Source organism: Homo sapiens, chromosome 12, assembly GCF_000001405.40.
Source record: "Homo sapiens chromosome 12, GRCh38.p14 Primary Assembly".
Classification (NCBI taxonomy): domain Eukaryota; kingdom Metazoa; phylum Chordata; class Mammalia; order Primates; family Hominidae; genus Homo; species Homo sapiens.
In genome coordinates, this window is record NC_000012.12 from 76,943,870 (window position 1) to 76,958,218 (window position 14,349).

A 14,349-nucleotide genomic window follows, 5' to 3' on the forward strand; every position below is an offset into this window, starting at 1 on the left:
CACTAACATATTTGTCCTTTTGACTCAAATATCTTATTTCTTTATTTGCAACTTAAAATATTGCCATTGTATTTCACATTCATCCATACAAATGTCAAGTCTTCTGAATTTTTCTAAAAAAAAATAATGCTCCAGGAGAAAGAATAATGATACAAAACAAATTCTAAGATAGACTTGATAAATACTGGAACAAATTTCCCTCCAGGGCATACATACTTCCCAATGCTTGACTAGTGGCTTTTTAAAAAAATTTTTTAAATAATGCAAAAAACAGCATAGCCATTGACAATAATGACAAAGGTCTCTAAAGGCCATGATGGGGTCAACATACTCTGGGCTGTGTTTACTCACATATTTCTGATACTAGATGTGTGGAGTTTTTTTCCTCCCACCAACCAGGCCTCCAACTCTCTGGACACCAACTAGGTGTCCTACAACTCCATTCAATTCTGACCCTAGCTACCTGGGATTATGCAGATCCCACAGGTTAAGGACTCAGTCCCAGAGGACTGCCCCCACTTCAGATGCCAATCTTAAGTCCTGGGTCTCCCATGCTTCTGAGTGACAGGCTATAAATCAAAGGTCTCCATGACACCCCCCTTCTCAGGTTCAATAATTTGCTACAACAGTGGCTCATAGAAGTCAGAAAAACAGTTTACTTACAATTATTAAAGGATGCAACTCAGGAACACCCAAGTGGAAGACATGCATAGGGCAAGATATGGGAGTGGGGTGCAGAGCTTCTATGCCCTCTCTGGTGCACCACCTTCCACCAACCCAGAAGCTCCCTGCACCCCATCATTTAGGGGTTCTTATGGAGGTTGCATTACATAGGCATGATTGATTAAATCATTAGCAATTAATGTTTGACTCCGTCTCCAGCCCCTCTTTCCTCCCCTGGAGGTGAGGGAGCAGAGTTGATAGTTCAATCCATCAGTCACATGATTGATTCCTTTGGCAACCAGCTTCCATCCCGAAGCTATCTAGGGGCTCACCAAGAGTCACCTTGTTAACATAAACTCAGGTGTGGTTGAAGGGCACTTATTATGAATAGCAAATTATGCTCTTCTTGCCCCCATCATTCAGGAAATGCCAAGGGTTTTAGAAGCTATGTGCCAGGAACCCTGGACAAAGATCTAATATACATTTCTTTTTTTCTTTTCTTTCCTTCCTTCCTTCCTTCCTTCCTCTTTTTCTTTTTTTCTTTTCTTTTCTCTCTCTCTCTTCCTCCCTCTCTCCCTTCCTCCTTCCCTCCCTCTCTCTCTCTTTCTCTTTTTCTTTCTTTCTTTCTCTTTCTCTTTCTTCGTGCTCTGTCATCCAAGCTGGAATGTAGTGGTGCAATCTCCGCTCACTGCAACCTCTGCCTCCCAGACTCAAGCAATCCTTTTATTTTAGCCTCTGGAGTATCTGGGACCACCGGTGCATGCCACCATGCCTGGCTAATTTTTTGTATTTTTGGTGGAGGCAGGGTCTCATCACGATGCCCAAGCTGGTCTCAAACTCTTGAGCTCAAGCAATCTGCCTGCCTTGGCCTCCCAAAGTGCTGGGATTATAGGCGTGAGCCACCGCGCCTGGCCTACATTTCTTATTATGTGCAATATCACACATGTCATCCTCTGCAAATGTCAGGTTCAAAATTTCTGCCACCACTTAAGATTAAAGCATGTGGAGGGTTCTGTAAGGTTTCCATCTTTATTTATTTATTTTTTAATTTTTTTTTTTTTTTTTTTTTTTTTTTTTTTTTTTGAGACGGAGTCTGGCTCTGTCGCCCATGCTGGAGTGCAGTGGCGCGATCTCGGCTCACTGCAATCTCCGCCTCCCGGATTCACGCCATTCTCCTGCCTCAGCCTCCCGAGTAGCTGGGACTACAGGCGCCCACCACCACGCCGGCTAATTTTTTTTTTGTATTTTCGGTAGAGACGGGGTTTCACCGTGTTAGCTAGGATGGTCTCCATCTCCTGACCTCGTGATCTGCCAGTCTCCGCCTCCCAAAGTGCTGGGATTACAGGCGTGAGCCACTGCACCCGGCCTATTTTTTTTTAAGTCAGGTATACTTTATTCATTCATCCAGTTCAAAGTACAAGTGAAGTTTCCTATAGGATGTGAGAGATTTAATATATAATCACATACAGTTTTACTAAATTCCATTATGCTGAGTTCTAATTGCTTCCTATTGCATTAGTCATTGTGGTTTTTCCATTAAAAGTAATGGCAAAAACTGCTAATTTTGCACCAACCTGATATTTACAACCACGTCAGCTTGGCTCATGGGGTCCTCCGGAATCTGCCTGGCATCCACCTTTCCAGCCTCAGCTCCTGCTCAGCTTTCTTTCTGTCCATGGAAACTAAGCTTGTTCTCACCCTGGGCTTTTGCTCTTCCTCTTTACACTGATCTTTATGTGGCTGGCTTCTTTTTCATCATTCCATTCTCAGCTCAAAAGTTACTGGCCATTAGAACTGAAAAGGCCTTCCTGTCACCTTTTATCAAATCACCCAGTTTTATTTCTTCATAGCATTTTTCATTATCTAAAATTATGAATGAATTAATTAATTCATGTATTACTAAAAAACTTATTAATGTCCATCTCCAACTGTCCTTCCTGAACATCTTGAATAGAAGCCTCCTAATGGCAGGTACTTTTCCATCTTGTCACTGTTTACCCCAGCGCTTAAATCAGTGCCTGATGCACAGGGAAAGTAGGATTGAGAGAGTGGAGACACTTCATTCAGGGAATGTGGATTGAGGGAGCAGAGACAATTCATTCCGGGAACATGGCCAACTTGTAAAGCATTAAATGATCTTAGAGACACTTTCATCACCACGTATGCCTCCGCCTATGCCTCCTTCCTGTAGATCCTGGATCAGCTAGGGTAACACTGCCAGGTGTATCTTATTCTCAGTGGCTTGATATAAGACAAGTCTGTTTCTTGCTCATATCATGGTGCGATGTGATTTTCTGTTGGGTAGGCTCCCGTGTGCTCATTTAGGGACCTAGATTCCTTTCAACTTGTGACTTTCTCTGAGTCTAGGAATTTGGTGCTCTCTTCATTCAGTTAGCAGATGGGGAAGGAGACCATGGAGAAGACATGGGTATAGTTTAACGATTTCACCCATGAAGTGGTACCTATCATCTCACTCTCATTCCGCCGGCCAACTTCAGCCACACAGGCTTCTTGTAACTGCCATGGAGACTGGGGAAAGCACTCTAGCTGTGAGCCCAGGAGAAAAGGAAATGGGATTTGATGAACAGAGCATCATCCTCCAGGAAAGACTGCCCTCTTTCCCTCACTTGATCTATGGCCCAAACTCTTCTTAAGAAATCAGAATCTTTCTTTGGGGGCCACTTCTGGTTGTAAGCTCTGATTCAATTCACTGGCTTTCCTCAGAAATGCTCCACCAGCCCCCTGAAATCCTATTTTCTTTCATTTTCTTTTAGCCAGTCACTGTTCTTGCTGCACTTACTAAATGTTAATTTTAGAGCCTCTGAGCCTCTGATATTGATTCCCTTAGTCTTGGTCCACTTCTTCTTATTCGTAGATTCATCTAATAGCTTGTGCCTTTGATCTGTATTTTCTCATCTCCCTGACTCATCATATCCATGTCTGCCTTAGCTTTGCACAGCACTATCACTCCTCTAATACTTGGCACCAGTTTGTCTGCATTCAGCTCGCTCTAGTCTCTTTGCAATATCTCCATTGGGAGAGGTTCTATATGCTTCTTCATATTAACTGCCACTCCTGTTTTCCCTGGGAAGTCTAGACAATATAACTCTCTTTCACATTGAAGTGTCATCTTTATGACAATTGATCAGCACGCTTTTGGAAATTTCCCACAGCCATCCATCAGAGCCTACTCTCATTATAGCCACATAGTAAAATTATGAAAGGAAAAGAGCATGTGCCTTGGGATTAAATAGATCTGGATTTAAATTCATATTCTCATTTATTAACTGAGTCATCCCATGGAGATGGCGGTAATACTTACGTTTAGGTTTATTGTAAAGATTAAGTACAATAACAGAGTGCTTGTTATTATCATTACAGCACTCTGGCAGATAGTAGTTTCTCAATAAATATTGATGGGTGACCCCACTACTCTCAGATATTATTCTTATTCATAAATGGGAGTTCTGGAATAGATAATACAATGTCTAGCAAAATGGAACAATGTTCTAATTTGACTTTATAATGGCAGGTAGCCTCTGAATGAGAATTTTGCTTTGCAGAATGTGGAGTAGATACTGAGGGATTGGTTCGTTAAGCCAGCATCCGGACAGTAGTAGGCTAGAAGGAATCAGGGCCACCACATAGGACTGCAGTCTGTGTACTGCATAACTCAAAGGGGTGCCATTCTTAGAGCTAGTAAGTGAATGACACCTCTGGGAACTATTCAATGGACAACCCTGGGGAAACTGATTAGACTTGGTTGAAATAACTTCCTTGGCTTCCTTCATCACAGTTCAGACAAATAAGGTTTCCCAGCTATATGCTTTACATGACTCAAGCTCCATTTAAATTATTTTTCTTTGGGTTAAAAAAAAATATATGACATATGATGCTAACAGAGGATCAAAAAGTCACCATTTAAATGTTCAAATAATTGTAAACATTATTTAACTAAATTTAATTATTTCTCAAACTTGGTAGATTAGGCTGCATGTTAATACAAACTCACTGTGAAGAGAAAATGAAAATAAGAGCATTTTATTTCTTGATAATTCTTAGATACTTGATATTCTTTGAAAACAATGCATAGAATGACGATTGATACACATTGTCTGGTTCAACAAACAAAATGTATTTTTCTCCTCTTACTGCCCATTCTAACATACTCAAGTTAAGGCTCCCCTATAGCATAGATGTAATTTCCTAGACCTGCTTAGACAAGTACCAGAAGGGAACATGTTTCAGATTTATAGATATTAGTGTGCTGTAAGTACCATGGAAAAAGGCAATGTGTTACTTGAAATTATAAATTCTCACCAGAAGTACTGGTGTGGTTTTATATAGTTGCTGCCCTGATACCATACGGTTGTGAATGTTTTACAGATTTTTTATGTAGTCCAAAGAAAACAAATTACAACAATTCCCTCCTGCACTGTCAATTAGGTGAGCAGATGTGACTGCTAAGAGGCAAGTTCTTTGGGGAGCCATTGCTGTGTTACTGAAATTAAAATTGCACCGGATGTTAGGGGCTCCCAGTCCAAACCCCCTAATTACATTTACCAAAGCAAATCATTTTTAAAAAATGACTGCTGCTTTACTGGTAAAGATTTAGAAGATATCATCTAACAGTCCATTAAGGATGAAGGCAAAATGATCAAATGTCAGTTACTATGATTTTTACACTTCCTTAAAGGTGTCAAGGTTCTTTGGAGGTGCTCCTATTTTAATTTTCTCAGTTCGGTGAAAATGAACTTGCCCCCACTAAGGCTGGCTTTGCTATTTGGCTCATCCTCTGACATTTTTATAGCTCCCACGTGTCTGAATCTTTCAGATTCAATTTAAGTGGAGAAGAAATAAAATAACTTGAAAACAGTCTTGTTAGCTTCATATTCTATCAAATTAATAAAAGGTCTTGTCCCTGTGTGCAGCTCTCCCACCGGCTGCCCCCACATTTTTATTAGGAGTGAGGATTTCTTTGTCTGGCTTGGATTTGTGTGTGTACTGGCCAGGCCAAGCTCTCTTCATTTGCTAAATAGAAACTTAATGCACATAAAATTAATGATAAATCTGATTATGGTGATTTGCATAAATTAGAAGACATTTTTATTAATTTCTGAGGGCTTATCTCTACAAGAGGGGACATATAAATTTGGACACTAATTAAGCCAAGATTACCTTTGTTAATGAACATAAGCATTCATTAAGCTTTCTAATGAAAAGAGGGGTGCACACTGGTGGGGGAAGGCACTGTACTGTAGGCTCCAGCAGAAATAATAAAGTTGTGTTGTGATATTTTATAACACCAGGGTGGCCCACTTGTATTAAGAATATTCTTGTTAGTTTGGAATTTTTTCACAACAAATAAAGCCAAAAAAACTGTACACCTATTTCCTTTGAGGGAAGAGGGATATGAAAGGGAAAGAATGTCTTCTGTTCTTGGTAAAAAATTAGAATGAATAATTTGTCCCAAGGATAAATCAATGTGCATTCTTAATTAGCTCCAGATTATAGTGATCTTGTTCTTCAATTGATCTTAATTTTAGATACACTTTCTTCTCTGTTTCTTCTACGTTAGTTGTTTCTCAATTTTATTGGCTGGCTGCATTTTATCAATGCTAAAAAGAGATGTGGAAAACTGGGAGCAGGTCAAAAGCAAAGTTACTCAAGAAACTTATGGAGTGTAAAAGACAAGGCAGGGTCAACCCTGATCAGGATTTTGAAAAAGGTAAAATTTGCTTCTAGGATTTAATCTCTTGTTTCTATTCTTTCCTTTTATTCTTTTTTTTTTTTTTCTTTTGAGAGGGAGTTTTGCTCTTGTTGCACAGGCTGTAGTGCAATGGCAGGATCTGAGCTCACTGCAACCTCCCACTCCCGGATTCAAGAGATTCTCCTGCCTCAGCCTCCTGAGTAGCCAGGACTACAGGCGCACAACACCATGCCCAGCTAATTTTGTATTTTTAGTAGAGACGAGGTTTCACCATGTTGGCCAGGCTGGTCTCGAACTCCTGACCTCGGGTGATCCGCCCGCCTTGGCCTCCCAAAGTGCTGGGATTACAGGTGTGAGCCACTGCGCCTGGCCTTTCCTTTTATTCTTTAGCTTTTTTAACATGCCCACACATTTTGTCTTCTTTCTATGTTTTTCTTTTACCTTCTTCCTAAGGTGTCTCACGCTTATCCTCTCTAAGTTCTCAGTGTGGGCTTACTTCAACTAGGAGTCATTCTATACTCTGAACCTCTCCCTGTCTTCTTCCATTCATCAAACCTACTTGTTCTATGGCCCAGGGTTTGCTCAGGACCTTGTTGGGTGACAGGTTAAACTGATGAACAGAATCAGAGCAAATGTTCATGGCCAGAAGGAAGTTTGAATGAATTACTTCCCTGAAAGTAGAAGCAACATGTCACACTGTAAAGCACACAGGCTTAAGACTCATGTTCAATTCCTGCCTGTAACACTTTCAAGATATTGTGACTTTAGACAAGTCATTTAAGTTTTCCCCTTCCTTCTTTCCTTCCTTCCTTCCTTCCTCCCTCTCTCCCTCCCTCCCTTTTTCTCCTTCCCTCCCCTCCCCTCCCTTCCTCTTTCTTTCTTTTCTTTTCTTTTCTTTTCTTTTCTTTTCTTTTCTTTTCCTCTCTTTCTTTCTTCTTTCTTTCTTTCTTTCTTTCTTTCTTTCTTTCTTTCTTTCTTTCTTTCTTTCTTTCGAGACAGGGTCTCACTCTGTTGCACAGGCTAGAGTGCAGTGGTGAGATCTCAGCTCATTGCAATCTCTGCCTCCCTAGTCAAGTGATTCTCATGCCTTAGCCTCCTGAGTAGCTGGGACCACAGGCACACGCCACCACACCTGGCTAGAGATGGGGTTTAGCCATGTTGGCCGGACTGGTCTCGAACTCCTGGCCTCAAGTGATCCACCCACCTTGGCCTCCCAAAGTGTTGGGATTACAGGTATGAGCCACCACGCCCAGCCTTATTTAAGTTTTTTAAGTTTCAGTTTCTACATCCATTAAATGGAGCTAGTTGAGGGATTCAAATGAGACCAAATAATAGCTGATATTTTAGTGTTTGCTATATGCTAGGCACTGTTCTAAAGGCTTTACATCTATTAATGCAGCATCGCACTGCCTACCCAGAACAATGAGCATTACTATGCCCATTTTATAGAGGGAAAAAAACCCACACAGAGATGTTAGTTAATATAAACCATCTTGTTTCTTGCCTGGGTTATTGCAATAGATTCCCAACTGGTCTTCCTGTTTTCATCATCTGTCTCTTCAATGTATCCTTAACACAACAGGCAGAATAATCCTGCTGAAACTTGAGTCAGATCTTGTCACTACTCTACTTAAAATCTTTCCACCTTATCCAGAGTAAAAGCCAAAATCCACCCTATGTTCTACAAGGCTGCCTCTCTGGCTTTTTCTTATCCCACTCTCTCCCTCACTTGCTCAAGTCAGTTACTGTGACCTTGGACACCACCTTTCCCCTTACTTAGGGTCATCACCCCGGGCAGCTTTTGCCCCTGGATGTGTTTCCCCCAATTATCTACATGATTCCTTCCTTTGAGTCTTTTTTTTTCCTCAAAATTCATCTTCTTAGTAAGCCTTCCTTGGTCACTATATGTAAATGTGCAGCTCACACCTCCAATTTTTCGGCTACCCCTTCTCTGCTTTATATTTTTTCTCCTTAGCCCCTATTGCGGTCTAGTATGCATGTGTCTACTTATTTGTTCACGGTCTACCTCTTCCACTGGCATATGAGATACATGATACAAAGAAGGACATTTGTTTGGTTCATTGTTATGTTTGTAGTGCCTGGTGCATTATGGTCATAAGTATTTGCTGAATGGATGAATTACCTTGCCCCATGTCACACAACCAGTAAGAGGTAAGGTTCAATCTCAGGCTCTCTGATTCCAGAGTCTTAACCATGGAGCTTTATTGCTTTGTAAACTGTAAAATATTAAGCAAATAACCATTATGCATTATTTAGGGAGATAGTGATGGTGCATGGGAAGATCACACATACCCCACTTGTCTAAGCTCAGAGTCTGGGATGATATGACTCCCTGCCTACTAGCAAAGAAATAATTGGGGATGTAGGACTCATGAAAAGGTAGACCATCATTTTCTTTCTTTTCTTTTTTGATACAGGGTCTCACTCTGTCACCAAGGCTGGAGTGCAGTGATACAATTATAGCTCACTTCAGCCTCAAACTCCTGGGCTCAAGGGATCCAACCACCTCTGCCTCCCAAATAGCAAAAACTACAGGCATGTGCTACCGTGCCTGACTAATTTATTACTTTTTGTAGAGTCAGGGTCTTGCTATGTTGTCCAGGCAGGTCTCAAAGTCCTGGGCTCAAGCAATCCCCTTGCCTCGGCCTTCCAAATTATTGGGATTGCAGGCATTAGCAATTGTGCCTGGCACATAATTTTCTGTTATATCTCTAATATCAGGTCACATGTCGAATGGCATAGGTAAAATCTAGCCCAGGGGTAGATATGGCTTCGAGTCACAGACACTGTAAGAAAGTCTTACAACAATTACTGTAGCTGCCACTCTCCACTGCAGCTAATTTCCATTGTTCTTTTCTGCCTTCCCTTTCTCTCACTTTCCTTTCCAGCCAGTTTTTCCAGTTCTCCATCTGTTCTACAGCCTGAGGGTGGCACTCCTGGTCTTTGTCATGCTGGTGTCATCCTAGTGAAGAGATGACTGACTGTTCTAGTCTGAACGAGATCACCCCTCCCCAAATCCTTCCCAGCTCTGAAATTATACTTCTGAAATATAAAGTACTTCTACATTAATAAATTGCTGTGTTCACACTATTATGGGTTTCAGGCTCCAGACTCAGAGACTGAAATCAAGAGAGAGAAAGAAATCTGGAAGACCAGAAGTGGAACAGATTAAAGGTTACATATCCTTACCAGCCAGTTGTTAATTTCTCTCATCATTAGATGGTTGGCTCCACACAAGCCCTACTTGGCACCCTGAGACCCCCAGCCTTGTATAAATGAAGCCATCCACCTGCCTCCTACCACTTACCCTCTTGGTCCCATTGCTTGCTTTATTGGCCTAGTTATTCAACAGTCTATAAACCACTAACTACAACTATATTAAGTTTTAAGAATCAATTCCTAGGATTCCAGCAAAGAGTTTATTTATAACTGTTGCCAGTTTAGACATTGATAGGGAAAAAATGTCAGATATTTTTAGGAAATCCAGCTTAGACATTTTTAGGAAAAAAATGTTTCAGGTATAGCAAATTTCCCCCCCCCAAAAAAAAAAAAAAAAAAAACCAAAATCCTGGCATGTCCATATGCTTTTCAAAAGATTGAATTCACTCAGTGCGTTTTAAACATCAAGCAAAACAGCAAAAGATCCGTTTTCATCTTTCTTAGAGAATAGGAGGTCCCTTCCTTTGTGACCTTCTTGTTTTGCTTTTAGTCTTCCCTATATGACAACTTTCCTTCCAGCCACAGAGGACTGGCAGCTTTGGCACTCTGGAAGCCACGCTCCATGTAAGAGAGATGTGAGTGTTATTTATTGGCCAGGGGGTGAAGTCCTACTGATCTTGGTGATGGTCCAAGATCATTCATATCATTCATGTTGCAGATTGTTCTAATATTACTTTTTTTCTGTTGCCTGTAGGCACATCTTGTGTGTGTGTGTGTGTGTGTGTGTGTGTCTGTGTGTGTGTGAGAGAGAGAGAAATCTCTTAGAAACCAATCTTCTCAAAGAACACAAGAGGAATATAATAAATTCTCACTCATTGGTGAGCACTGATTGGGGCAGGGAAAGAGAAATAATTAGAATAATCATGATGATGATAATAGTTAACAGTTTTGAAACTTACAACATGTCAGTCACTATAGCTAAGTACTTTTTATATTATATCATTGAATTCTCACAGTCACTTATCTTACAGATGAGAAAACTGAGACTCACATGTGAAGTACATTCCCCAAAGTCACTCAGCTAGTTAGAGTGCAGCTACCTTTCCTCTAACAACAACGATAATAAAAAAAAAAATAGTGTGGTTCTTTTTTTTGCCTTCCTTATACAGAGCAACAAACCTCCCTTTTAATTTCTGATTATTTATCTTACAAATTTCATGGAAATTCCCGTCTAAGGAATTTTTTTTTCCTCTCAACCCTGTTTGAATCTGCCCCTTTCCCAGAATTTTTTTTTTTCTAGGCCACATAGCATGGTATTCTAGTAAAATCTACAAAGTATTTTGGATATACTTTGGCAAAGTGTGTTCAATTTCCATTGTGCAACTTTCCAAAGGTAAAAGCTGAGGCAAATATCTTAGTCCTTTGAGCCTCAGTTCCCCACTTAAAAAAAAAAAGATAATAGCTCTTTCATAGGGTTGTTGTGATGATAAAATATGATAATGCGGCCGGGCGCGGTGGCTCACGCCTGTAATCCCAGCACTTTGGGAGGCCGAGGCGGGTGGATCATGAGGTCAGGAGATCGAGACCATCCTGGCTAACAAGGTGAAACCCCGTCTCTACTAAAAATACAAAAAATTAGCCGGGCGCGGTGCCGGGCGCCTGTAGTCCCAGCTACTCGGGAGGCTGAGGCGGGAGAATGGCGTGAACCCGGGAAGCGGAGCTTGCAGTGAGCCGAGATTGCGCCACTGCAGTCCGCAGTCCGACCTGGGCGACAGAGCGAGACTCCGTGTCAAAAAAAAAAAAAAAAAAAAAAAAAAATATGATAATGCATGTGTAACTTAAATATTTTGGCCTTCCTGAAGTTGCCTACAGTTTCTGCTTTGTACAGCATTTCATTCAATAGAAACATACATCCACTTCTAAGAGTTCTTCAAAATGATACAAATCATTATTGAAGTGTCTAAAATAGAAAGGAAGGACCAATCCCATTATTCAACATTTATCAAAGCTTCCTAAAAATTCTCTTCTCCCCCAAATTCTGCTTCACAAGGCTACCACAACCTCTTTCCCAGGGCATTGGCTCTTCTTCATTGCTTTCTCTCCCTAAGGTCCCTACTCCACTACCATGTTGTCTAGTACTGCAGGATGATAGTTTTGTTGTCTGGTTGCTAAGGAGACATTGTCTCAGTTATTTCTAAAGCAGTCTTGCTGGGGGCGAGTACATACAACAGCAAAAATATTGCCATTTTTTTACTGTCCTTCTTTACTCACTTATCTCTCCTTTCATTATTTCCTGGATAGAAATGATTTATTGGAAGCCAATAGCATTTTTTTCTTTTTGTCTTGTATTTTATGACTATTTTGTCTAATTTTTCTTTTTTTTTCCTTTTCTTTTTTTGGAGATGGAGTCTCTCTCTGTCACCCAGGCTGGAGTGCAGTGACTTGATCTCAGCTCATGCAACCTCCACCTCCTGGGTTCAAGTGATTCTCCTGCCTCAGCCTCCCAAGTGGCTGGGACTACAGGTGCATACCACCATGCCAGCCTAATTTTTGTATTTTTAGTAGAGACAGGGTTTCACCATGTTGGCCAGGCTGGTCTTGAACTCCTGTCCTCAAGTGATCCGCCTATCTCTGCCTCCCAAAGTGCTGGGATTATGGCATGAACCACCTACCTGGCCTATTTTGTCTAATTTTTCAAATAGAGTGAATTCATTATTTTAGTTTGGGATGTGTTAGGCTGCAAGTAACAGAAAAATGGACTCAGTGTGGCCTAAACAAATAGAAGTTGTTTTTCTTATATACAAAACATCAAGATGAAAGAAATTAGCTGCTACCATTGGTTTGGCAGCTCATTCTCTGCAGAGCCAAAGTCTGCTCTGGCTAGGTCTTTCATTGCAGCCAGAAAGCTTTGCTAGAAACTTGAGCTGATTTTTTTTCTTATATCTCATCAGCCTGAACTATGTTAAATGGCCATTTTTGGCTTCAGGGAAACCTGGGGAGATGGGAAAGCTTTGTGGGGGAAGTGGACAAGAGAGAAGGGAATTGAGATTAGGTCTTATGTCTGCCCCACTCCTTAAAGACAGAGTATGTAACTCGTTCAGTCCTTCCTCACTGTGCCTAATGTACTTCTGGGACATAGAGAGTACTCAATCAATATCTGTTACATTAATTAATTTATTAATAGGTAATGGATGGATGAATGACTTTACAGCTGCAAAGGGCGTATAAGGCCTCAGATAGTAATCTTTAAAGTACCATCTGGAAGTCAGAATGCAGTGCAGATAATTTTCTCTGCCAGCATTAGGAAAAAATAACTTCTATGACCCACACCTGAATATTTGGAAACTCTTCAAAAGGCTTAGGAAAGTTCAAAGGACTGCCGCCCATGAAGTTTGGTAATAATTGTATTAGCTGTGGAATCAGGGAAAATATTTCTAAAGAAATCTGGGGAAGTCAATGACCTAAAATAGATAAAATGATGACTTTTTATTGTTTGTTCCATTTAAACATTTACTTGTTTTTAACATAAAAGTTTTGAAGTCATAGAATCTATGAAAGGCTGGAAGAAGGCAAAGAAAAGATGAGGGTCTGAGTAGCAATGTTCACATGAAGCCAATGCCACTTGGCTTTATTCAGGGGTGTCCTTGAATCTTAGAACAACCTCTTCATGCATGGTCAGTACCCTCCTCGGAAAGTATGTATAGGTGCACTTTTTGTGGACTAGCTTCATTCTTGCCTTAGTTTTATATCTTCATTGCTTTCTCTTTTTTTTCTCACTTATTTCTAATTTATTTACCTTATTTTATGTATCTTTAGAAGCTGTCGTAAGTCCTTTATGAATAAGGCAGGTTACAAATAACTAGTTAGTGATCAAGAATGGTGCTATTTTCTGTGCCTATTTCTGAAATCAAGAGCTGTAATGACTTGCATTTTAAAATAATTAAGCATATTCAGGAATAGTCACAGATTCTGAGACAGAACTGACATCAGAGATAATCCCAGAGTGTTAAAGATTACACTTGAAAATGAATCTAGGCTTCTTTGAAGTGTGACACATTGTAAATTCATGGGTGGTTTGTAATGTACTGCCAAGCTGTGAATTTGGGTACCTCATATGGTGTTCATATTTTTGACTGGCAAATCTGTTGTGTTCACAGTTGCCACCTCACCCTTCTCCAGCACTCACCCTAATATTCCTTAGTGATTACAAATTATGATTATTATGTCATTTGAATTTTTATCTTCAATTAGGTGTATAGGAAAATAAGTTTTTGTAGGACTTGGTTTGGATCTACGAAACAAATGTTATATAAATGTTTCTTTTCATTACTGCTTGTTAGACAAGAAATGAATCTTGCCAAAGCCTTATTTTAAAAAGAGCTAGTCTTGGGAACAATTCTTCATTTAGTGTAAATTCTCAGTCTGCATTGTCAAGTGAGTAGTACTGAATACTTAACAGGTGGCTTAGCAATTGACGTGCAGAAGAAAAGAATTATTATAACACCTTAACCGTTTGCAGATGTCCTGGGTAGGAATATACATGCTTCTTTTGTTTCATAGTGCAGTCTTTTGTTTTCATGTTTAGTAATTTTTTTATTCTTAATGGACCTGTCTACAAATGAATCCAACTGGTTTTTTATTATGACAAGGAGAATTTCAACTAGAGGGGGAAAAGTCTATCAATATAAGGAAGAGAATGAGAATTGACAGAAATTGAATAAATTTTTAAATTTCTATTTAGTTAAACTAAGGGAATGTGATTGATAGTGAGCACAAAGGAAATGACATAAGGATTT